Source organism: Homo sapiens, chromosome 1 (assembly GCF_000001405.40).
Source record: "Homo sapiens chromosome 1, GRCh38.p14 Primary Assembly".
NCBI classification, from domain to species: domain Eukaryota; kingdom Metazoa; phylum Chordata; class Mammalia; order Primates; family Hominidae; genus Homo; species Homo sapiens.
In genome coordinates this window covers 50,960,540-50,983,416 of record NC_000001.11, presented here as the reverse complement: position 1 = coordinate 50,983,416, position 22,877 = coordinate 50,960,540, and the positions used below count along the sequence as shown (strand labels likewise).

The following is a 22,877-nucleotide window of genomic DNA, read 5'->3' as shown; positions in this document are numbered from 1 at the left end:
GTGGACAAGTTACTTAGCGTCATCAAATCTGAGTTCCTGATTTGTAAAATGGGATAATAAAGCCCAATCCATGAAGGAGTCTTAAATATTAAACTAGGTCATACAGATGCAAAATAAATATTGATTTATTAACTTGCTTATGTGTTTCTTTTCTCTCACTGAAATATACACTGAATGAATAAGTGAATAAATTAAGAAGTACCAAGAAAAGACATTTATCAAAGTATCTTTTTTGTATAAATATGATTTAATAGCCTATAAATTATGACAAAATTCAATATAATTCAATAGTTTTTAGCATTCTTCTATGCGAACATATTCACAACTACATTAAAACATCTTCAGATCATCCTCTCAGATCAATCACCATCACACTTGTAAATGCAGACCACTTGTTTTTAGCATGTTCAGATCCTTTTCCTAAATATCTAGGATTTTATTTCCTCCTACAATATTGGATAGGAGACAGTAATCTTTTAATCTAATGGAAAGATATTTAAATGCTTTTTTCACCACTCCTTTTCCCCAAATTAGTAGATGATTTTTGTGTGAGGTGATTTTTCTATCAGGTAATTTAGTATCGTTGTTCCATAGCTTGAATTTTATGTCGGATATTTCAATCCGCTTTCTCTTCAGCATGTTCTGTTGCTGAGTAGAGAAACCTCACAATGGCCATAGACTGTTCTATTGTTTAAATTCTATGTATTTAAACTCAAAACAATGATATAAAACATGACTTTACTGTAGAAATGATAAATTAATTGTACATTGATTTTAAAGATAATATCTTTGTTTGTGGAAAACAAAAAAGTGCTACTAAAAATTCCCAGATCTCCATCCTGGTAATTCAAAACAGAATATTTTCCTTAGAAGGCACTAATCTTTAAAATTCTTTTATGTTGGTAAGCCAAAACCTCTACTTGCTGATCTTAGGGCATGGTGCAAGATCTTTCAATAAGGTTTGATGAACCAACAAGTGTTCTGGAATATTTCTTGAGGAAATTTTAAAAATTAGAATATTAATAAGTTAATATGCATTGTTTATAGATAGTAGTCATATAGTTGAAGAACTGTGCATTTTGAACCTTTAAAATATGATAAATAAGCCTTTTTAAAAGAAAATGAAAGCAATCACTGATCTTCAGCTGATGTTGTTATGTACAATTCTCTATTATATTGCCAAATTAATATTTTCTCTATGACATCTGTGATGTCCCTCTGGACTAAAAAGACATATATATATTCTTTCTGTTAACTGTCTTTATACAGTTATTTGCTTTTCCATTAGGGGCATGGTATATTTAAACAACTGCAGGCAATTTATACTAGCTCAGAGTCATTTTGATCAGTCTTGGGCAAATTAACCAGCCTTCAGTCAGTTCAGTGCTCTCTCCTATGTGGCCCTACTCCGGCTTCACATTGAATAGTCCCTCAGTCTAGTCCAGATGTCCAACTGTATCCACTCACCCTTTCAGAATGATGTTGTGCTTGCTATTTTTAGATGGAATATGTGTCTGCTGTATGTTAGTAAAACATGTAAATTATGTATGTAATTTATACATGATATATATCAAGTAGTGTGTTTTTCTACTATGTGTTTCAAAAGCATTATCCAAATGAAAATGATAAAAAAACTTCCCACAAAACTGGAAAATGTTTCATACCAAGAAAGTTAATTTGTTTATATTTACCATTGTGATATAATGAAGGAAATTTTTTTGGTCTTGTTTGCCCTGCTTTTGGATTCTTGGGCAAATGTCTTTTACTGGTCTTTTTTTGTCCTTGCTTTTGGATTCTTTAGCAAGTTGTCCACCATGTAATTAATATTAAATTAACCTATAGGCATTGCTATCTAAAACTTTAAAATATTCATTGTTCCTCTTGTCACTGTCATACTTTCTTTTCTAATGTTTGAAATTTCTAAATTGCGGATAAGTGACTTTTTAATATATTTGCCTCATGACAAGCTTTTGAAACATTAACTTAGGTAGAATGAGGAGCTGCATTGGTGTTTTCAGTTCTAAGATTTTAATTTCTATCTTTCCCAGGATCATTAATTAAAATGATTTAACCTATATCTAAAAAAAATCAGTTTATATTTCTTTAGTAGATCATAATTTGTCATCTTAAAATAGTAATGTGAAGTGAATTGATAGTATTTGTTCCACATCCATTTGCTCAGTACTGAACTTTAGTAAGAAATATCTCAGCATATCCACATATACATAAGGATACTCATATAGGACAGGACCAACAACATTATTTTGATTAACTGGTTAGTACCAACTATATACTTATGGATAAACATAGCAAGCTTTGGTCCACATACAAAGTGCAAAATGTAACTATAAAATAACAACAATACAATTAAAATATGTAATTTACCAGTAGGAGTAATTTATTTTTAAAAAATTGCTTTGGATTTCATACCACAGTCTTTTCCTCATATTTTTCTGTAAAGTATTAACAAATTAACATTTTCTTAAAATGATTAGTCTTATCAATATGACAAATTAAAATGTTATTTTCTGAAGATCACAAATTAAGATTTTCTAGATCTTAATTCTATGCTGAAAATGTTAGCATGTATTGAAATGTTAAATATTATAAAACATTTCAACTAATTTATATGCCAAACATAAATACACAATTGATGTAATCTAATGTACACTTTTTTTCACTTAACTTTATTTTAAATACAATATAGGCTGAATGCTTTTTCACTCATAGGCCTATGATAAATTTGAATTAATGGGGATAATAACTACTTTTAGCATCATTAAACATGACTTTAAAAGTTGAAGTAATGTTTGTGAACAGGCAAATAGGTGGCTGAAGAATCAGGAGTAAAGAAGTATTGAAAACCTCTATCTACATGCTACTTTTGTTCATCACCTAAAATGTGGAGACAAAAAAATATACAGAGAAATTTTTTTAAAAAGTGGGGTGGACAGCCAAAACTATAGGTGATAATATAGTGAAATATTTTGTAAACCATTGTTTTTAATTATGTTTTGAAAAAGATACTCTGGAGTGATCAATTACTTTTATATCTCACGATTATTAAATGTTATCTTTCATAGTTAAAAAGCACACCACAGTATACAGTATTGTCTATGTGAATACTGAAACAAGGAATATTATCCTGTTAATCATCAAGTGCTGATTAATTTAACAATTTCATCCTATTTATTCTTCTAATATATGAGTTTTTATTTCATCTTGAATCATCACCACACTATAACATTATTGCTGATTTGCAAATTAATTATTCTAGGCCTTTCAATTGTTAGTATTTATTCACAGCTGTTCCAAAGTTTGACAAAAATAAGAATACATGTTCATTTTTAAATGGCCTGTATAGGTTTGGTGTGAAGTGCCTGAATTAGCAGAATCGGTATCAGAATGCTGATATATCACTGAGGACAGTTACTTTTTAATAAAATTATCAGAAGGAGAAAACTATGGAACAAGAATTGCCAAAAAAGTTCCAAAATGTAAGACAGGATATACTGTTACATTAGTTGTGTACGGAGTAGCCAAATTATAGAATAATTATTCCTAAAAATCAGTAAGTTTTTTTTTTATTTTAGAAAATAATGTTTCCAAAGCATAAATTTTAAGCTCAGGACAAACTTCTTTACCAGCCAGTTGTGCAGACTGTCCACTGAGAAGGAACAGGGAGTGGACTGTATTTTAATAGAGTTGTGATAAATAATTTAGTTGCATTTCTAAATTAAAAATTCAACATTAAAAGATGTTGGCAGTTTCCTTTTTATGTGATCTTTCACTATTCATACAACTAATCTGAAAATCTAAGACACATAATGAAAATAAAATTCGCATGATACTGCTTTATATGGTCAAGATAAAGTATCAGCTTTTTCTAAGTAACTACTCTTAGTTACTTAGAAAATTAAAAGAGCAGAAGCTTCTGTCTCCAAAAATGTCCAGGAAGATTTTTGAGTTTTTCATGCATCAGTTTCAGAAACTGTCCCATTATTTTCATGTTAAAAGACAATATCACTTTAATTATACCAAATTAAATGCGTATGAAGTCCTGATAAATTATTTCTTTCATAGCATTGGTTGTATGTAGCATTTCTTCTTAGTGCTCAAAAGAAATGACGTGTAGTTGGATAAGGATTGGTGGTTTTTTACTTCCTCCCCCAAAGAGCTGATGTTTTTGGCTGGTTGTTTTTTGTTTTTGTTTTTATTTGGTGGTGGGGGGAGACATGAGAGAAAAGAAAAAGGCTGTATTTAGAATTATTGAACAGGCCTACACTAAAATTCTTCCTTGTCCGATGAGGATGAGGGCTGGGGGAGAAAGGTGAGGTGGAACAATTGAAGTGTAATAGTATCTGCGTAGTTTTTTTAAATGTACAATCTCTCTCCCGGTCTCCGGTCCCCCTGCTCCTATGTGCTGGTACCTCTGGACTGTTCAGAAGCCATTTTAGAACTCAGGAAGCAAAATATGTGAGTTCCACTGTGCTTCTGCAGGTGCTGTGGTGGCAAGGATAACCTTTGCTCGCTTGCCGGGGGGTGTAACCACGCTGTTATTTAATGTCTTTGAGGATTAAAGACACCACAGAAAATTCCAAACCCACATCCTAACACCTGAAGCTCGCACAATGTTTCTAGAGCAAATGACAAAACATTTCACTGGAACCTTAATTTAGCAAGTCTGTGTCCAGATCTGGGGATTTTTTTTTAATTGTTTTGAGGCGTCGCTGATGATCCCTACAGTACTCGATTTTCAAAACTATTTCGGGTTGAAAAAAGACCCCTTTCTAGGTGTTTTGCGCACCCGAGCCCTGCAGTTCACGGTGTTTCGGGAGGAGGGTCTTTCGGAATTGAACGTGCATTGTCAGTCCTGGGCGTCTAGTAATTTGTGGGGTTGGGGGGGGGACCGACAAAACCATAGGTCAACTTCCCGAATAGTCTGAGGGGCTAAGAAGCCAGAGAGGCATTTGCCTCCTCGCAACTGGACGCGAGGCTCAGAGCCCGGCTGTCCTCAGCTGTCATGGGGGGAGGGGAAGGGAGTGCTGGCATCGAGGTCGGGCGCCGTTTGCTCAGCCTCCCCGCTGCGTCCCGCCGCCAGCTCACCTCCGCGAAGAGCTAGGCACTCACCGGCCCGCTGGCCCTTGCTCCCTGGCCGCCCTCCGGCCCCGGTCCTCAGGCACAGGTCGCCAGAACCGTCCAGTGGGATGGCTGCCGCCTCCTCGGGGACCGCTGCCTGAGGGCCAGGACCGGGGTCGCCTGGCCGCCCGGGGAACCCGCAGCTCCCGGGGCGCTGCGCCGGCGGCCGGGAGGCGCCGGCGCCCGCTCCCCCTCCCCGCCCCCCCGCTCCCGCCTCCTGCCCGCGGCGCGGTGCTCCTGCTCGCCCCGGCCGGCCGCGCGGCCGCGCACACACTCACTCCGAGGGCGCCTCCAAGGTTACCCGCGGGTGGGGGCTGGGGCAGACTCCGGCCACTGGCCTCCTTCGCTGCTTTCCTATCGCCGCGGCCCTTCTGCCGCTCCAGGGCCACTGGGATCCAAATCCTAACGCAGAAGACACTCCAAAGTCCGGGGAGGGAAGTCAAGCTGAGAGGCAGGCCGGCATCTGGGCAGGGGGCGGCCTTAGTTGCCTCCGGGTGCCCGGACAGCCGGGTCAGGCGAGGTCGCGGCAGGAGGGGGCTGTGACTCCGGCGGGCGCGCTCCGTACAGCGCAAGCTGGGCTGGGGGCAGCGCGCGGGGGCTGCAGGCAGCACCGAGGCGCCCGAGGCGCCCCGGGCCCGTAGGGGGGCAGAGACAAGCGGGCTGCCAAACCTGCCGAGGAAACTAACTAAATAAAAGGAGACTGTTATTTAAGGCGCGGAAATTTGAAATATTTGGACAGGAAGAGAAAAGAAAAGAAACCTTAGCGAGGGAGGGGGAAAAAACGCGAGCTAACGGTTTTGAAGCTCCCCCACCCCCACCCCTGGCTTTTCTGCGCGCCCTGAGGGAGCTCTGGGCTCCAGCTTCCTATCACTAGGGCCCCGGGAGTTGGAGCTGGAGTCTGGAGAAGGAGTTTCAGAGGGACAGAAAAGATGTCTTCGCAGCCCCTCCGTGGAAGGCTTGGGTTGGCTATGGGCAGAGCTTTACCCGGGGTCTCAGGTGGGAAATTTGTTTCCTGCCTCTCACTAGGTTCCTGCGTGGAGCTGTTTTCATGGGACTGCCATATAAAAGCAGAACAGTCTCCAGAGACCGAGACAGGGACTTTCCCCCGTAGCCTTTTGATGAAGGTTGCTTAGGGCAGCCAGGAAGGCTGTGAGCACGACCTTTTCTTGCTCCAGCACTGTGACTGCCCGGCGCCTATGGACTATTTACTTCTACCCCCGGCAAAAGCCGAAAGCACCTTTTTGGGAACTGAGATTTCGAAACCAGTCCTGGGCCACGGACTCCATCCACAACGTTCTTTTGATCAATACGATAAGGGAAATACATCATATTGCTTTCTCGGGACAGAATACTTAACCTACTTATTGATCAGTCGCCCATTGTGGTGTGTGTGTACATGAACTCATCACACCGTTGCAAGATGCATAATGTTTATCAGAAAACTTAATTCACTACCAAAATGTGATAAAAGACACTTTGTTTAGCAGTTCGGGGACCAGAACTTGAACCGAGGTCATGTTAGTGCCCTCCACCCCCAGGTGTAAGCCTGGCTTCAGCTTCCTGGGCAAAGGCTGAGACCAAGTTTCCCGACGTGAATGTGGACGCAGCGGTGAAGAACTGAATTTGAGAGCGCATCCTCTGCTTTGTATCCTCCATCCTTACAACAGCGTCGTCTCCTGGAGCTCTGGACACTCCATTAATTAGCACTTGCATCCCCACTCTCTGCATCTGAATAAGTTCAGACCCCTCCCTCCCCACCTCAGGTCGCTGAAAAATAGGTCCCCAGCAGCACCGTTTCATCCATCCTATACATTTCGGCATGTTCAAGAGGCTTACAGAATATTGTTGAGGTTTTTGAGATTGAATAATGGCTTTTCATATTTCCTAGAGGGGACCACATAACTCATTTCTAAAATACTTAGATTAGCAAAGCTACTTCCCGCACAGAGCTAGAGTAATATGGCGATGTTTTAATGCCTAACAACTTTTAGACTGATGAAAAGATAGAGCGTCCTCTCCCTCTATTGTGCTCCGACCACCCGAGAACAAAGCAACTGCAGAAGTAACTCCTCTTTTGCTTTATGAATGTCCTATGCTTTTATATTTGAAATCTCTAAAGGGAAATTTTATTCTATTAAATAAAGTAAATGCCGAGACATGTTGGATGCTGTGAAGTCCATTAAACTGGATTTTAAAATCATGACCGTCCATCTTTACAGTTGTAACTTGTAAGAGGGTTTTTTAAAAAAATTACTTTCAGTTAGTGTTCTGTTAAAAAATATTCGGCTTATCAAAGTAGTATATTTTGTATATTGACTCCATTTTAGAATCCAAAATATGACACTTTTACTTCAAAACCACCTCAATCTCTGTTTTTCTTAAATAAGTGTTTCAATTTTGTTGCCATCAAAAATAAATTTATTTAGTAATTTGTGGTTAAAGGTGTCAGAGGATGAGGTCTTTTTGCACTTAGGGAATGTAAATTTTACTGCAAAATTAAAAGGATTAATCTTTTCTTTCTATATTCTTTTATACTATCATGGAAAATAAATTATTGAAAACCACTTGCCTGCCACCCAGCCATTCCAATCCTTGTTAGGTCAGGCATCAGAACCATGTCCTTCAATAAACCTTGAGGCATTTTATTCTTTTTGGAGTGAGGGCAGAGAGCTTATGAAGTAGGAGGGAACGTTCACATAAAACATCTTTGATCATGTGGTAGATGATGAATAAAGTATGTATGAATTTGCAAATGATAACTGTATTGAAATCTGTTGTTGAAAAGTGTAAATTAAAATGACCAAGTAGTAGATGCTAGAAAATTGTCTTGGAAATTTAATATTTCTACTTCCTTAAAAAAAATTTAAAAATTAAAAAATTTTTTTTAGGTAAATGTGCTCCTAAAAAGATTGTATACTCTTTTACTAAAAAGTTTTGTGGAAATTAAGTACCATTTGTGGGAGTTGCTCATTTATTATTTTAAAACTTTCTACATTTATTATTCTGCAAATTCTGAAATAGTTATGACCTTTATATGTAATTTATACATTTGTCTCGCTGTTTTTCATTGCCTAAAGATTGATATTTGCACTTTAATGCTTAAACATTTTGTAATTTTACATTTCTTACACTCAGGGAGAAAAAGTCCACATTACACTTAGTGTATTTATGATATAATTTTGGGAAGTGTATTATTTAACCATTTGCTTCATTTTGTGATTAAAAATCCATTAGTGGTAAGCATTTTTAAGGTGGCATTTTCTTTTAAAACTTTAGAGCTAAAATATGTTTTCAGATTGCTACTTCTGAACTCTGTCCTTCAACTATTTGACTTAATGTCGAGAAAAAGGGAAGATTGGACATTAAGGGAAATTCACACTGAAATTTCAGGCTTAATCTTCAAAAAAAAAAAAAGTTGTCCTTATTTTGTTTTAAAGCAGAAATACTAGGCACCAAGGTGGACGGGACATGGGTAAAGGATGAAAACAACTGAATCATCAAGAGAGTATGTCTAGTTTTCCAGTTGGTCTACCTTTTCTAGTGTAAAGACTTAAGACATTCAATAACTTTTAGTACAGTTCTCCTTAGCAAGTGATAAGTTGTGTATGGGTTCTAAAGGAGGGAAAATCACAGAAAAATGTTGTCCTGTTTTGAAAGTGTTTTAATTAGACAAAAGCATCAGGACAAACCATTTTAAAAACAAAGTCTTCAACTTGGGTGTTGAGATTGGCAAAAGGGGAAGCAAGGGAAAAGCCAAGGAAAGATAAAATATTCAGAAGAAAGTCAAAGTTATCTGCAATTACATGTTAGAACAGATTTTGCAGGTTAAAAAGATGTTGCTTAAATATATTCATAAGCCTGTTGTAAGATTTTCACTTATGCAGTTTCAGAAAATTTAGCTGCTTAACATATGACAGAACTGTATTTTAACAAATGACATTAAAAGTCAGGAGAGCTACTCAGTTAATTGATAAAGTAGAGGCAACGTGGGGGAGCCCTCCCCACGTTTATTGAAGATTTGTGGCTCCCCCAGCCCCGTTTGCCTGCATCAGGCTAACAACCTCATTCCTCCCATAGAGCCTGGCCAAATCACAGGCGGTGTCCCCCTTATGGTTCCGATGCCCCACATTGCTGGCCGTGTGCTTCACCAGGAACTCCACCACCCGGAGGTGGCCTTCTTTGGCAGCCAAGTGCAAGGGCAGGTTCCCTTCATTATCCTCGATGTTAACATCAGCTTGAAACTCCAGCAAAGTCTGTAAAGTGTCCAGGAAACCTGCTCTGGCCGCATCATGAATGACAGCGAAACCAGTTCGGTCTTTCAAATCGGGATTAGCACCTCTAAGTAGCAGTCTCCTGGCAATCTCGGGATTTCCAAGTTTCATAACCTGGAAAAGAAGTAGAAATGGTAGAATCCTTCAAGTGCATATGCTACAGAGATATTTTAAAATATCTGCCTGTCCTTCCATTTATGTAACTATTTATTTTTGATGGAGTTCTTGCGGAAGACCCATAGGATGGGGCTTGAAGGGGTCAAATGCAGAAAAGTGCTAGTAGGTGAAAGTAGAAGACAACTTCTAAAAATTGAGCTTCTATGATGGAACGTCTTAAATGGGCCCAAAAGTAGGATAAATTGATCAATAAGATAGAATTTGTGCAACATGTATAGCATTTGCTAACAATTCTGTTCTCTATGTTCCATGAAGAGTTGTGTAATTTCACGAATTTATTAAAATAACAGAAATGGAATTTGGGATTTAAATAAGAGTCTCCTTCTGTTTGATTGTTCATGCTCATAAAATGTGCCTGTGGTATTAATTCTAGAAAATCATATGTGGTTAAACTTTATTTTCTAAATAGCTACTGCAAACAAATAAGGATGTTGAGTTTCTCTAAACCAACTCCATGAGTGAGTGTAAAAATGATGTTTTAAAAATCCAGGCCTGATATTTTCTTAAATGATCAATTTTTACAAGTTCCCTCCAAATAGATATAGCTCCAAATTTCCAAGCATTTCTTAAAAATATTTTTTATTTGCAAGTTATTTAATATTGGCTACTAGGTGTATTCAATGTTTAGAATCCTTCATTTTAAGTTACAAAACAGTACTGATTATTAAGGTGTTAAATAAGCCACAGTGTTCTAAATTGCTTATGATATCAATTTATATAAAACTAAGTTCCTGATATGCCTTGTATCACAGTAGGAAATTATTGTAGGACAACTGTTCTTGAAAATAATGAAATAGTCACCCTATTACATTATATACTGTTTCTCAAAGTTCTGACAAGCCTCCTGATTTTCAAATGAGCAAAAGAAGAAAAAATAAGATATTTAATGGGTGTTTTGGGACACGGACAGCCTTGTCTTGTGGTTTGAGCTCATTTAATAATCAACTGGTGATCCTGTGTTAGTTCCTTTTTCAGTTATTATCAAGCATTTAAGGAACAGCTATTTGTAAACTGCCAACATTTTAAAAGTCAGAATGTGGTATTAACACTTGCTATCAACATACAAATAATTCACATAACAAAGATTATCTACTATTGTTTGAATATATTTCACTCTAACAGTGGTCTCTTATAAAGTATCTTGTAGAACAGCATGCAAATATAAAATACATATAATTTAGTTGTGAAAAAATATTACTTTCATTAACATGCCACACATTTTCAGAATTTACACTGGTTTATTTATATCTAGGTATATCCATAATAATCTAAATTTATAATAAATATCTTGTATAATAGACACTCAATGTTTATGAAATTAAATGCTAATGGAAAATACAAAGTCGTTCTATCTTTTTTAAATGTTTGTTTAAAAAAATCTAATCACACATTAAATAACAAAATATATTTAAAATGAGTAATATTTTGTAAATGCAAACTACATAGATGGACAAGATATTAAGCTCCCCTGTTGATAAAACTGTTGATTTTTAGCTCTTCCTTTGGAGCAGTGGTAAACAGTGATACATAATTTATATTTCAAGAACTTCAATGAAACATACTTTTTGGTTATTAAAAATTGATACGACCACAACTGTCCCTAAAGATTTAGTCATATTTAAGGACCTGGAATGAGAAAAATAAGAGACAGATACCTTGGATCTTCGTAAAGCAAACATACGATTAAGGCCTTTGATATTAACCTGATAGAAAAATGTACACTAGGAAGGTGGAAAAGGCTTTTGAAATTGAGTTAAATAAACATAATTGTAGAAGAAAATTCACCTTTTTTCACAGAAAATAATAGCAATATTGGAAACGGTTTTGAAGAAAGTTATTTCTTGACTTATGACACAACTTCAGAGTCAGGATTATACATATTGAAAATAAGCCTTGAAACTCCAGTTTCTGTGTGTGTGTTTCGTTATATGTACAAGGACTAAGCCACAATAAGTGGGTGTTAGTATCTTGATAAGTATGTTTAATATAAACAAGATTGCAAAGTTGTATTAAAAATGTTTGTCAAAACTTTTTAAAAGAATATTATTAATTTCCCAGTCTTCCTGTTCGTCAAAAATCCTGTAAAATCTTATCATGAACATGGGTTAAGTAGTTCATTCTTTGTGAAGTTTATATAATCTTTTGAGTTTTCAAAAGGAAACTTTTCAATATATTAAATTTGTTACTTTGCTATCATCACTAAACCTGTTCAAAACTACTAGGTAGAAAAAGGAAAAAAAATCATTACTTAATGTAGCAGCAATAACAAGATAAATAATTTAGTATCTGTGCATAAACTTCCTTAATACTGAAATTTTTGCAAGGCCAGTGTATTCTGACTGAAAATGTACAGACTGTATGGACTTTGTTTGTTAATAGTATATCTCTTGGCACTTAAATTTTTAATTCTTGTAACCGAAACAAAGCCCTCTAAAAACCCTCTCCCCACTGGGTTTTCAAAAACAGCTTCAAGTGTTGCATTTCCAAATAAGAATAGCTCATAAGAATATCATCAGAACTCTGATAAAGCAACTATTTTAAACTATTTTGTCATTTTTCTGTTTCTAAGCCTTTCACCTAAGTTACATGATAACATTCAGAAGAGGAAAAAAATTATCAGGTACAATACTTGGCAGCTGGACATGTGTCAATTGTTGCCTGTAAATCTAATTACTGAAAATTAGAGCACACCACGGCATGACCGTAGAGACAAAGACACTGCAGCTGAGCTCTGATTAGAAAATTCAACTTTTTATTCCTCCCGACTCCTGAATGAGTGGATGGTATTACATTAACTGTAAAATGTACATCCTGTCCCGGTGCCCAGGCCACCCATTCCAAACGAGGAAAGGTCGTTTGTCAAAACTTGAAGCATTTGAAGGAAAAACACCCTCATCAGTAGTCAAGAAAATTAACGTTAAAGTCTATTATTGGGGGCAAAGTACGTAAAACCACTAATAGCAGTGTATTTACTTCAAATAATAATCATAATAATGTGTTTACAGAGCTGTCTTTAAAAACAAAACAAAACAAACAAACCTCGGCCCTACACTGACTACTTTAAAATCCCCACCGTCACAAAAACATTCCAAAAACTAAGACCAAATCTGGACCCCACTTGATATCAAGGATGTTATTGGATTTGAGGAGTTTGTTCAAAGTACGTCATTTTGAGAAGTTGCATCCACTTAAAGATATAAAATATGGCAACCAACTAGGTTTAAAAACAGTGAAATTTTATGTCCCTGAAAGCTTAAAAGCTGTAAATCTAGAAACCCGGGTCACGTAGGCAACATTATTGACTTGTTTTCCCCACCTCTCTTAATACCAACCTGCAGCGCAGTCCTTCCAAATCCATTTTGTGCATTGACGTTTACATTATTTTGCAACAAACTAGTAAGTTGCTCTAGGTCCCCCCTGGCAGCTGCGGACGCCAACTCGTTCCCCCAAGGCTCGGCCATTCTTTAGGGTCCTGACGATCAGGAAAAGATGAATTAGTCGTTTTTCTTTTTCCCCTTTCCTTTGCTCCTAACCAGGCTGCATGATGGCATCGGAGACTGACAGAAGGACTGGGATGGTTAATCTGGAGTAGAGCTTGGTAGTAAATACTAGTAAGATCTGCCTGCCAAAAGCCCGCCCCTCGATTCACACGTGATTATTCAGCAAAACTGAGCCATTGGAGAGGGGCTCCTCGCCTCGCTTTTTTAGCTTAACCCCTATGAAGAATTCTGACGACTCCACAGAGAGACACACAGACACACATACATTCCTGGTTAATGACTCCGGACGTCAGATGTAGGCAGAGCTGTCACGTACCTACGCTACAGATCTCTGTGAGGAGTGTGTGTGGAGACTCAAGGGACTATAGATCGGGGCAGAAAATACCGCGGAAGGAAAGACATTCAGGGGGAAGAAAAGGCATTCACCCACCCTTGTTCACGGTGGTGACTTGAGCCGTGTGAGGCAGAACTGCAGGGGCAGGTCCTCCAGGGGGCTCGGTTTCCATCCGTCTCGCCGAAGGGATAGTCCTGGGTCCTCCGCTGCTGGGAGAGCGCCGCGGTGGCTGGATGCTGACGTGCTCCGGAGGGTTAAAAGATGATCGCCAAAGGCGAACGGGAGTAGCAGTTCGGTGGCCCTCAAGTTACAGGTCGTAACGATTGCCCAGTGCTCTGGGCTTCTCCAGAAGAGCCTTTGGTCGCGTCCGGGCCAAGCCGTGGGCTAATGCCGCTCAGGAAAGCTCCGGAGCCCGCCCGCCAGGCAGCCGCAGCCCCGCCGAGCCTCAGAGGCCGTGGGAGCCGGGCTCGGCGCGCGTCTCCGGAGGCTGCCGGGCGTGCGGCGGGCCCCCGAGAAGCCCGTCATGCCGGCCCCGCCAGGTCCCGGGACTCCCGGCAGCCCGAGGAAGGAGAGTGATGCGGAAAGCGTCTACGGAGCCCGGACTGCTGGGGCAGCTCGCGGCAGCATTGCGGCTGCACTGGGCAGCCCCCCCGGGAACTTCCCGCCTACGACCGAGCTCGTTCAGGCTTTCTGCTGTAGGCACTCATTGAGCTGCTGCCGCCGCTGTCCTTTCCTTCCTTTCCCGGTTTTGTGGGGGCCTCTGGAGATGGGGAGAGTCCTGGGAAACGTAGGCCAAGTTCTGAGTAGGGAGAGTCGCCGCAGTTCCGGGGCAGCCAGTCCGGTCGCCGTCTCGGCGAGCGCTCAGCAGCCTCGGCGCCCGGTGCCACTTTGCCACCTCTCGCGGTCCCCGGCCTGTGCCCCTTTGCTGCGGACAGGGCAGCCGCCAGCCAGCTGTGCCCTGGAGCAGAGCCTGGCAGCACTGCTTCCTCCTTGGCCGCACCGCTCCCAGTGACAGTTTCTTTTGTAGCTGATCCCCCCCTAGATCGCCGGTCCCTGCTCCTTTCACCCCTACAGGCACTTGCGTGTCGCCCCCTTTTTTGCTTTTTTCCTTCACTCCCTCCCTTGCTGCTTTTTTCGCTGAAACAATTGCTGCTTCTGTTGCCTCTCAGAGAGGGTGCCGGTTTCTTCTCCCTTTTTTCCGACCTCATCAGCTTTTTTTGAAAAGAAAAAAATTGAGCGCTTTTTGAGTTGAAAAACCCGCCCCCATTTTAACGGCAGAGTTTTAAGGAGGCTCGGCAGAGTTGCAGCGCCGCGGGAGCGGGAAGGCCGGGCGCCGCCCACGCCCCGCCCTCCGCCCTGCTGGCGCTCGCGCTCGCAGTCTCGCACGCTCCGCCCGCCCGGTCCCGCGCCCTCATTCCCGCCTCCCGCTCTCCACCTCCTCCCGTCAAGTCTCTCGCGCCGGCTCCCTCCTGCCGGCTAGGCGGCCTGTCCCCAGCTGGAGCGGGGTTCGGCCCCGCGAAGTCCGGCCTGCCCTTCTGCTGGCGGGCTTGAGTCTGTGACGCGAACCCCCAGCTGCCCCAATTCCTACGGGGGCGAGGACAGGGGTTTGTTATTTAAGACGGTTGTGGAGGGCCGCAGGGTCTTTGAGGCTCCGCAGCGTACGCTGCGGGAAGGCGGACAGCGAGCTGGCATAAAGGGAGTCGTTCCTCAGCGCTAGCGGGGCAGGTCGGCCCGCCTCTGTGCTCCCCCGCCAGGCTCGCAAAGTTCGGGCGGCCAGGCTGCGGCTGCTGCTGCCTCCTCTAGGCGCGCGCGCTCTGTAAACTCGGCGTCCTTCGCTGAGCCCTGGCCTCGGCCTCGCACCTGCCAGATCCATGCCCGACGGCGCGGTGGGCAGGGGTGGCCGCGGGGGTGGAGGGAAAAATCCGGACTGCCACTAAGCACAGTGCTCACAAAAAGCAAGTCTTGTGTAGACTGAATTTTATGAAAACTTAAGACATGGCATATGTAAGAACGAACTCTGAAGCCTTAATTAATCAAGGACTGGAAACTGCGAAATAGTCCTATTATTAGAGAAAAAGGAGAAAAGCAATTAAATTTAAAGCAAAATTTAAAATAAGTCGTGTGAAGTGTTTTCTAACAAAGCCATTTCTTGGTTGCCGAAGTTCTCTCACTACTTAGAAGTGGCTTGGATTTTGGGGATGTGGGGTTGGGGAGGGTGTCTAGAATGGTCTCTCTCCTAATCCTTTATTTAATCATCCGACACCAATTTCCAGTACTTTTAACTTCCTCTTTTAGCTATGTGAGATTAATTAACTATTGCTTTCTGTATTTTTATACTCTTAAAAATATCCAACACGGTTGCATGATGCACCCAGTGGTCAAAATGAAACCAAGCAAAAAATGACAAGTCTAATTAGAACCGGCCTTTGGCAAGCGGATCCTCAAGCAGTATCTGTACCCTTCTTGAAGTACACTGGGAGTATTAGCAACAAAACACACCAGAAATATCTGGGTAATCATCCAGCAAGAGATTGGTAGGTAGAGGGAAAGTTGAAACTGGGAAGAATCTGGCAGTGTTTTCTTTAATGTAATTGTTGAGAAAAAAACTAGAGTTCTTTTCTTAGGTAACTAAACTTGAATTGTGAATCAAATGAGAACTACAAAACAAGAAATTAACTCTCTTTTTCTTACATATATGTAGACGTTTCAAATAGAAACATTTAAGATTCCATTTATACCAGTAAGAAATAAATAATAATTTACTTTTGATTATTCTGGGAACTGTGTAATCTTTTCATACAGCCAGAGGGTGTGAGGACATATTAGCACTGTTGGCTGATAAAAGAGAACTGGTATTAGTCCAATTTATGAGGATTGCCTTCTAGCATTTATTATGGTTTCTTGCTTAGAGATAAATTGTAAAGAGGAAGAATCTTAAATTGTATGATTACATAAAGTACGGGTAAACGTACTATAATTTTCATGAAATAAAATGCTTATTGCTGAACAACTAAGGAAAACTTATGATAATTTAAGATGTACACAGAGTTGTATTAAGATTTTTGGAGGCCCTAAGCACTGAAAAGATTTTGATGTTCTACCACCTCTTCCTTATATAGAAATAAAAAGAAAAATAACAGAACCCCAAAATAACAGTAAAAAAGTCCAACAAAGTTCTGATTTTTTTCCCATGATGGCTACTTCAGTGGTTTTGCTGAGATATTAAATTATTTGGCAAAGGTTTTTTTTTTTTTTTTAACATTCTGGTTTTGCTGGTGCCCTGAAGCATATGCTTCATCTGCCTGTTGGGTAAACCAGAATTGGCAGTGCAGAGCTTAGGGTCTTAGTTCAGAAGGCATACATAAGTATTACACAGTAACTCCAATGAAAATCTAGTATTTATTGAGGGCTAGTTCACTACAGCAGATTCAAGGGTATCTCTACCCTCAATAAGCTTATATTCTAACATGGCTTACAAGAAAAATTCATAGTTAAGTTTCTACTATATTGAGAGTGGTGCTTTCCTTTTTAACATCAAAATGATAAGTACATCAAATACTGAAATATAGCCTTTATAGTTAGATATTAAATATTAACAGTCATGGAAACCTTTTGCTCCAGCAGTTCATAATCATTTAAGGAGACATAGAAGTGGCCGGGCGCAGTGGCTCACGCCTATAATCCCAGCATTTTGGGAGGCTGAGGTGGGCAGATCACCTGAGGTCAGGAGTTCGAGACCAGCCTGGCCAACATGGTTAAACCCCAACTCCACTAAAAATACAAAAAAAAATTAGCTGGGCGTGGTGGCTGGCGCCTGTAATCCCAGCTGCTCAGGAGGCTGAGGCAGGAGGATTGCTTGAACCTGGGAGGCAGTGGCGGCCCAGCAGTCTCAAAAAAAAAAAAAAAAAGAGACATAGAATAGAAATGTGATTCAGTCAAATTATTCTGTGCTTTTCCCTCATTGACATAGAATAGAAATGTGATTCAGTCAAATTATTCTGTGCTTTTCCCTCATTGACTCAAGTAGGTACAGTTTCTGAATGATTAACTTTTGGAAATGTGTATGTGGTATTTACCATTTATTTAACTGGTCTCAAAGTTTTCCTTTTTGTTGTATTTATAGATCAACAGAGGTGGAAAACAGACTGGGCACCCCCAGGCAGCCTTTTATGTGACTTTATAATTGTAGCTTCAGCATTTTATTTCTGAGATTCAGTGGTTTTTTTCATATAGGTACTTATTTATGAAAATTTTTTATTATTTTTATTTTATTTTATTTTTGAGACAGGTTCTCACTCTGTTGCCCAGGCTAGAGTGCAGTGGCTTGGTCATGATCATGGCTCACTGAAGCCTTGACTTCCCAGGTCCAAGTGACCCTCCTACCTCAGCCTCTGGAGTCGCTGGGACCACAGGCATGCTCCACCATGCCTGGATAATTTTTCTAATTTTGTGGAGATGGGGTCTTACTATATTGGCCAGGCTGAAAGTTCTTTTTTTTTTGAGACAGAGTCTCTCTCTGTCATCAGGCTGGAGTGCAGTGGCGCGATCCCGGCTCACTGCAACCTCCACCTCCAAATTCAAGCCATTCTCCTGCCTCAGCCTCCTGAGTAGCTGGGATTACAGGCGCCCACTACCACACCCAGCTAATTTTTGTATTTTTAGTAGAGATGGGGTTTCACCACGTTGGCCAGGATGGTCTCCATCTCCTGACCTCATGATCTGCCCGACTCAGCCTCCCACAGTGCTAGGATTACAGGTGTGAGCCACCGCACCCGGCCTGAAAGTTCTTCGTTAAAGTAAGAAGGAAAAAAAGCCCAGTAAGCAACCCAAAAGCTGAAAAATAATAGCAACAATTAATATTTGTATAGTGTTTCATGGTTATAAAATATGATGCATATCTATCTATCTATCTATCTATCTATCTATCTATCTATCTATATTTTTGAGACTGAATCTCGCTTTGTCGCCCAGGCAGAGTGCAGTGGCGCGATCTCAGCTCACTCCAATCTCTGCCTCCTAGGTTCAAGCAATTCTTCTGCCTCAGCCCCCGAGTACCTGGGATTACAGGTGCGCACCACCACGCCCGGCTAATTTTTGTATCTTTAGTAGAGACAGGGTTTCACCATGTTGGTCAGGCTGGTCTCGAACTCCTGACCTCATGATCCGCCCACCTTGGCCTCCCAAAGTGCTGGGATTACAGGTGTGAGCCACCACACACAGCCAATGCATATATTAATCTTTACAACAATTCTGTGAAGTGACTGTGATAATAATCCCCGTATTTCAGGTGAGGGAATTGAGGCTGGCAGAAATTGTGATTTAAAGTCAGTGAATACTAGACATAGGATTTGAATTCAGTTCTTGGGGCTCCAAACCTTATACTTTTTCCATTAGTCCAGGGTCCGCCACTAGTATCCTAAACAACACTAAATCACTAGATGAAATACATATGTGCAGTAGCATTAGTTTTCTCATGAATTACATTATGAGCAAGAAGTATTATTTAAGAAATTGGTTATCTTAACCAAAGAATCAAGGTTATCACTACCAGTAATAACTCAAGTTGATAACACATGGCCTTGATATGATGTAACAAGGACATATCACCTCTGCGGTGATACACATCTCAGTGTAATTCTGAGAATACATTAGGTAATCCCAGATTGAGGGAGATTTTATAAAGTTCCTGACTCTTCAGAAGTGTCCACTGAGAAACTGTCACAGATTGGAAGAGGCTACTGAGACATGACAACTAAATGTAATGTGGTATTATTGGACCATGGAACAAGAAAAGGACATTAGTGTAAAAATCCAAATAGAGCCTCCAGAATTTAACTAGTAGTATTTAGCAGTGTTAATTTCCTAGTTTTGATAGATGTACCATGTTAAATAAGATGGTAACATTAGAGAAAAATGGGCTAAAAGCATATAGGAACATTCTGTACTGTCTTTGGAAGTATTCTAAAATAATTTCAAATAAAAATTTAGTAAAATATAAATAATATTTATTATTTATATTGGAAATAAAGATGATATAAAAGTTTCTTTTAAAAGAACATGGAGATTCTAGAAAAAGATCTGTATTTAACTTAGGCTGAGCTCCATGAACTACTGTGGGCCAACTATGAGAATAGATAAATTAAAATTACTTTTCTTTGCTCGTGCATGGACCAAATTTCTTTACATTTCCTTCTTTTGGTTTATGACACTTAACTGAAATTGTTTCTCTTAAGGATGGAATTCTGGAGAAATGAAAAATGATTTTTTTTCTCCTAATTCAGTATTTATTTTTCTTCCCTTCTCTTATCTGTAGTAGATAACCACTCTGGATGCTAGGTATCCAACCATGAAGAGTTAGGCCATAGGGAAGAAACAGTGTCTTTGGGAATGGTATAAACTAAGCAGCATGGAAGGGAAATTGTACAGAGGCAACATGGTAAGTGGAAGGAGCACTAATTTGACCTAGTCTTGAATCCTAGGTCTGTCACTCTGTAGCATGACTTTGAGCAAATTCTTAACTTGCCAGAGCAGCTTTATATTCTGTAAAGTAGTAGTTGTAAATATTAAATGAGATAAAGTTTGTAATGTATCTGTACATAGTAGACTCCCAATAAAAATTAATAAATTCAAAAGCATTTGCCATCTGTTATGTTCACAAGACTTTGCTATGTTTGCACTATGGTGAATATAAAAACACATGGCATAAAGCGGTTTATAATCTCAAGAAACTTTCAACCTTTGGGGGGAGATTAAACATACATATATGAAAACAATTAGAGAAAAAAATTACAAAATTTACTGGAGCACTAAGTTGTGTTGTAAAGATAGTAAAAGCAGTAATTAGAAAGGAGAAAGATCCTTACTGGCTTAAATTTTATGAAAGGGGTGGTCCTGAGAAAAGCATTTAGGAATTGGTATACAGAGTAATAACTAATATGTTTGGAGAGTTTTAAGGTTTATGAGGAATTTTCACAAGCATTTGATCATTCAACATTCAAAATCACAAGCTTTTTAGCCCAATTTTAGAGATAAAGAAATAGAACCAGAGAGCCTTTGTTAAAGAGCAGAGTTAGAACTCAAACCACAATTATTGACTATTAAATTTATGTTAGTGTGATACCAATATTTTATATTTTCCATGCATTTTCATAATTGTTTTTTCATTTATCAGAGGAAATAGTCCTGTGAGTAGCTGAAGTCAGAGAGATTAAATGACTCATCCAAGTTCCCTCAGCTAATTATTTGGAAAAGCAGTACTAATATATGCCTGAATGTCTAGTGTGTTCATCCCATTGTTCTACATACCACATTGTTTTAATTTCCAGATGGAGAGAAAGGAAAGAAAAAGGGAGCAACATGGGATTTGAATGGGTTCTGAGGTACACACGCATCATTACAGAGAAAAACTCTCAACTTTTTAGGACTGCATTAATCCTTGGCCATATAACTAGAAACAATTATTCACCTGCCTTATACTGAGGGTGGCCTATATGAATGGGGCAACTGAATTGCCACATTTATATTATTGGTGCTGTGTTTTGCCTCATGATTCACATTTGTGCTGACTTTTGGAATTACTTTCTTTTTAAAAAAATATTTATTTATTTATTTTGAAACAGTTTTACTCTGTCACCCAGGCTGGGGTGCAGTAGTGTGATCTTGGTTCACACTGCAACCTCCACCTCCCAGGTTCAGGTGATTCTCCTCCCTCAGCCTCCCTAGTAGCTGGGACTACAGGCATATGCCACCATGCCCAGCTAATTTTTGTATTATTTTTAGCAGAGATGGGATTTCACTATGTTGGCCAGGCTGGTCTTGAACTCCTGACCTCAAGTGATCTGCCTGCCTCGGCCTCCCAAAGTGTTGGGATTATAGGCATAAGCCACTGCCCTGGCCATGGAATTATTTTCTTACGGCTGAAAATTAAGCAAGACATTTTGATTCATGTGACTGTGGAGGGTTCTATTATCTAGCTAATTCTGGTCTAAACACAGATTAGTACTTAAGAACTGTAGGCCAGCCTATTTTCATTTAAGGAAACACACAGAATAAACTCAGATCATAATACAGTGCACTTCTTTATATTCAGTGAAACTGAACAATTAGGTCATATTTCTGATTTCTCATGAATATATTCCCAGTTTATGGAGCCTAGGCCTTGCTGGGTGTGGTGGTATGGCTCACACCTGTAATCCCCACTCTCAGGAGGCTGAGGTGGGAGGATGGCTTGAGCACAGGAGTTGGAAGCCAGCCTGGGCAACATAGTGAGGCCCTGTCTCTAAAAAAGTAAATAAATGATACAAGTTTAAAAAGTTCTTAAGGGAAGCCTAGGCCTTCATGCTACATGATGATTTCACTAGTTATTTTAGCTCTACAGGATAAAATCAGCAATCTTACTTCACATTTTCAAGCTTTTACATACTTTCCAAAGCAAGTAAATGCCCCATGACAATCCAGAAGCTGATATTTTCCCAAGTCAAGGATGAACAACTTCCACTGTCACACTTTCTCTAACCTGGACGACAATTACAAACTGTCACACTTCATTGTACATAGTCTTTGGCTGTTTTAGTTACAGAGGTTGTCAATTTCTGACCATGGGTTGAAACTTTCAATATTTGGTGAATATTCCAAAATAATTTCTTATGAAAATGAATAGGCCGGGTGCAGTGGCTCACGCCTGTAATCCCAACACTTTGGGAGGCCGAGGAGGGCGGATCACGAGGACAGGAGTTCGAGATCAGCTTGCCCAACATAGTGAAACCCCGTCTCTACTAAAAATACAAAAAAAACTTAGCCGGGCTTGGTGGCGGGAGCCTGTAATCCCAGCTACTATGGAGGCTGAGGCAGGAGAATCGCTTGAACCCAGAAAGCGGAGGTCGCAGCGAGCCGAGATCGCGCCACTGCACTCCAGCCCGGGCCACAGTGCGAGACTCCGTCTCAAAATAATAAATAAATAAATAAATAAATAAATAAATAAAAATAGACTGACTATATTCAAAGCTGGATTCAAGTTTTATCCCATTTGTAAGATGTCTCAGCTTAAAAAAACAAATATAACTGCAGCAGTAGAAAGGTTTTCCCTTTTTTCCCCCTTTGGAGCAACCCTATTAACTCGAGGTTGTTATTTCTCATAACTACCTTATCAATTAAAAAAAATGCTCCTCCTCTTCTCTGGAACGAGATTTTTACCTTTCTCAGCTTCCTCGTCTCTCCCATGTCTACCATGGCAGTCTGGTTACTTCTGTGTTACGGAGTCTGAGGATGCAGACGTCAGGGAGCTTGGGACTGGGTGTGACAGTGTGGATTCGGTTTTGACAGGTTGAGCGTGAGAGACTATATGAAGCTGTATTTTGCTGAAACATTGTAGAGAAAAACATATATTTCTGAAATGCTGTTTGTTAGACGAGTTGTAACAGTGTGTTTAGTTGGTTTGTGAGGGTGGTGTGTATTTGT

The 22,877-nt window shown here is 40.0% G+C and overlaps 1 protein-coding gene across 3 annotated transcripts, besides 11 other annotated features; it reads right to left on the bottom strand.

The window, feature by feature from the left end:
* Positions 4,145–4,654: a transcriptional cis regulatory region, noted in NCBI's record as "candidate enhancer chr1.6035 targeted for multiplex CRISPR interference". NCBI's record gives its function as "positively regulates CDKN2C gene expression in K562 cells {active_cell/tissue: K562}" and the evidence as "EXISTENCE:mutant phenotype evidence [ECO:0000015][PMID:30612741]".
* Positions 5,086–5,305: a silencer, noted in NCBI's record as "silent region_870". NCBI's record gives its function as "represses an Ori minimal core promoter by ATAC-STARR-seq in GM12878 lymphoblastoid cells {active_cell/tissue: GM12878}" and the evidence as "EXISTENCE:reporter gene assay evidence [ECO:0000049][PMID:35858748]".
* Positions 5,326–5,385: a silencer, noted in NCBI's record as "silent region_869". NCBI's record gives its function as "represses an Ori minimal core promoter by ATAC-STARR-seq in GM12878 lymphoblastoid cells {active_cell/tissue: GM12878}" and the evidence as "EXISTENCE:reporter gene assay evidence [ECO:0000049][PMID:35858748]".
* Positions 5,616–5,785: a silencer, noted in NCBI's record as "silent region_868". NCBI's record gives its function as "represses an Ori minimal core promoter by ATAC-STARR-seq in GM12878 lymphoblastoid cells {active_cell/tissue: GM12878}" and the evidence as "EXISTENCE:reporter gene assay evidence [ECO:0000049][PMID:35858748]".
* Positions 5,936–6,015: an enhancer, noted in NCBI's record as "active region_1017". NCBI's record gives its function as "activates an Ori minimal core promoter by ATAC-STARR-seq in GM12878 lymphoblastoid cells {active_cell/tissue: GM12878}" and the evidence as "EXISTENCE:reporter gene assay evidence [ECO:0000049][PMID:35858748]".
* Positions 6,106–6,215: an enhancer, noted in NCBI's record as "active region_1016". NCBI's record gives its function as "activates an Ori minimal core promoter by ATAC-STARR-seq in GM12878 lymphoblastoid cells {active_cell/tissue: GM12878}" and the evidence as "EXISTENCE:reporter gene assay evidence [ECO:0000049][PMID:35858748]".
* Positions 6,286–6,575: an enhancer, noted in NCBI's record as "active region_1015". NCBI's record gives its function as "activates an Ori minimal core promoter by ATAC-STARR-seq in GM12878 lymphoblastoid cells {active_cell/tissue: GM12878}" and the evidence as "EXISTENCE:reporter gene assay evidence [ECO:0000049][PMID:35858748]".
* Positions 6,916–6,965: an enhancer, noted in NCBI's record as "active region_1014". NCBI's record gives its function as "activates an Ori minimal core promoter by ATAC-STARR-seq in GM12878 lymphoblastoid cells {active_cell/tissue: GM12878}" and the evidence as "EXISTENCE:reporter gene assay evidence [ECO:0000049][PMID:35858748]".
* CDKN2C (cyclin dependent kinase inhibitor 2C) lies at positions 8,783–22,672 on the bottom strand. 3 transcript variants are annotated; one of them, NM_001429675.1, is made up of 4 exons: positions 22,614–22,672; positions 13,518–15,481; positions 12,920–13,059; positions 8,783–9,524 (listed from the first exon to the last, which is right to left on the bottom strand). In NM_001429675.1, exons 3-4 carry the CDS (start codon positions 13,046–13,048, stop codon positions 9,147–9,149), a joined length of 507 nt encoding a protein of 168 aa, NP_001416604.1. In that variant the 5' UTR covers positions 13,049–13,059; positions 13,518–15,481; positions 22,614–22,672; the 3' UTR covers positions 8,783–9,146. The 3 variants fall into 3 exon arrangements, with proteins under 3 accessions (NP_001416604.1, NP_001253.1, NP_523240.1); NM_001262.3 differs by lacking the exon at positions 22,614–22,672 and having other exon boundaries at positions 13,518–14,711; NM_078626.3 differs by lacking the exons at positions 13,518–15,481; positions 22,614–22,672 and having other exon boundaries at positions 12,920–13,172.
* Positions 13,834–14,103: a silencer, noted in NCBI's record as "silent region_867". NCBI's record gives its function as "represses an Ori minimal core promoter by ATAC-STARR-seq in GM12878 lymphoblastoid cells {active_cell/tissue: GM12878}" and the evidence as "EXISTENCE:reporter gene assay evidence [ECO:0000049][PMID:35858748]".
* Positions 14,334–14,403: an enhancer, noted in NCBI's record as "active region_1013". NCBI's record gives its function as "activates an Ori minimal core promoter by ATAC-STARR-seq in GM12878 lymphoblastoid cells {active_cell/tissue: GM12878}" and the evidence as "EXISTENCE:reporter gene assay evidence [ECO:0000049][PMID:35858748]".
* Positions 14,654–14,913: a silencer, noted in NCBI's record as "silent region_866". NCBI's record gives its function as "represses an Ori minimal core promoter by ATAC-STARR-seq in GM12878 lymphoblastoid cells {active_cell/tissue: GM12878}" and the evidence as "EXISTENCE:reporter gene assay evidence [ECO:0000049][PMID:35858748]".
* Positions 22,673–22,877: the final 205 nt, after the last annotated feature.

Excerpts from the sequence above, each read along its gene's own strand:
- CDKN2C (NM_001429675.1), bottom strand. The coding sequence starts at position 13,048 with ATGGCCGAGCCTTGGGGGAACGAGTTGGCGTCCGCAGCTGCCAGGGGG. Across the intron at positions 9,525-12,919 it reads TTGGAAGGACTGCGCTGCAG|GTTATGAAACTTGGAAATCC; the intron begins GTTGGTATTAAG and ends CTTCTTTTCCAG.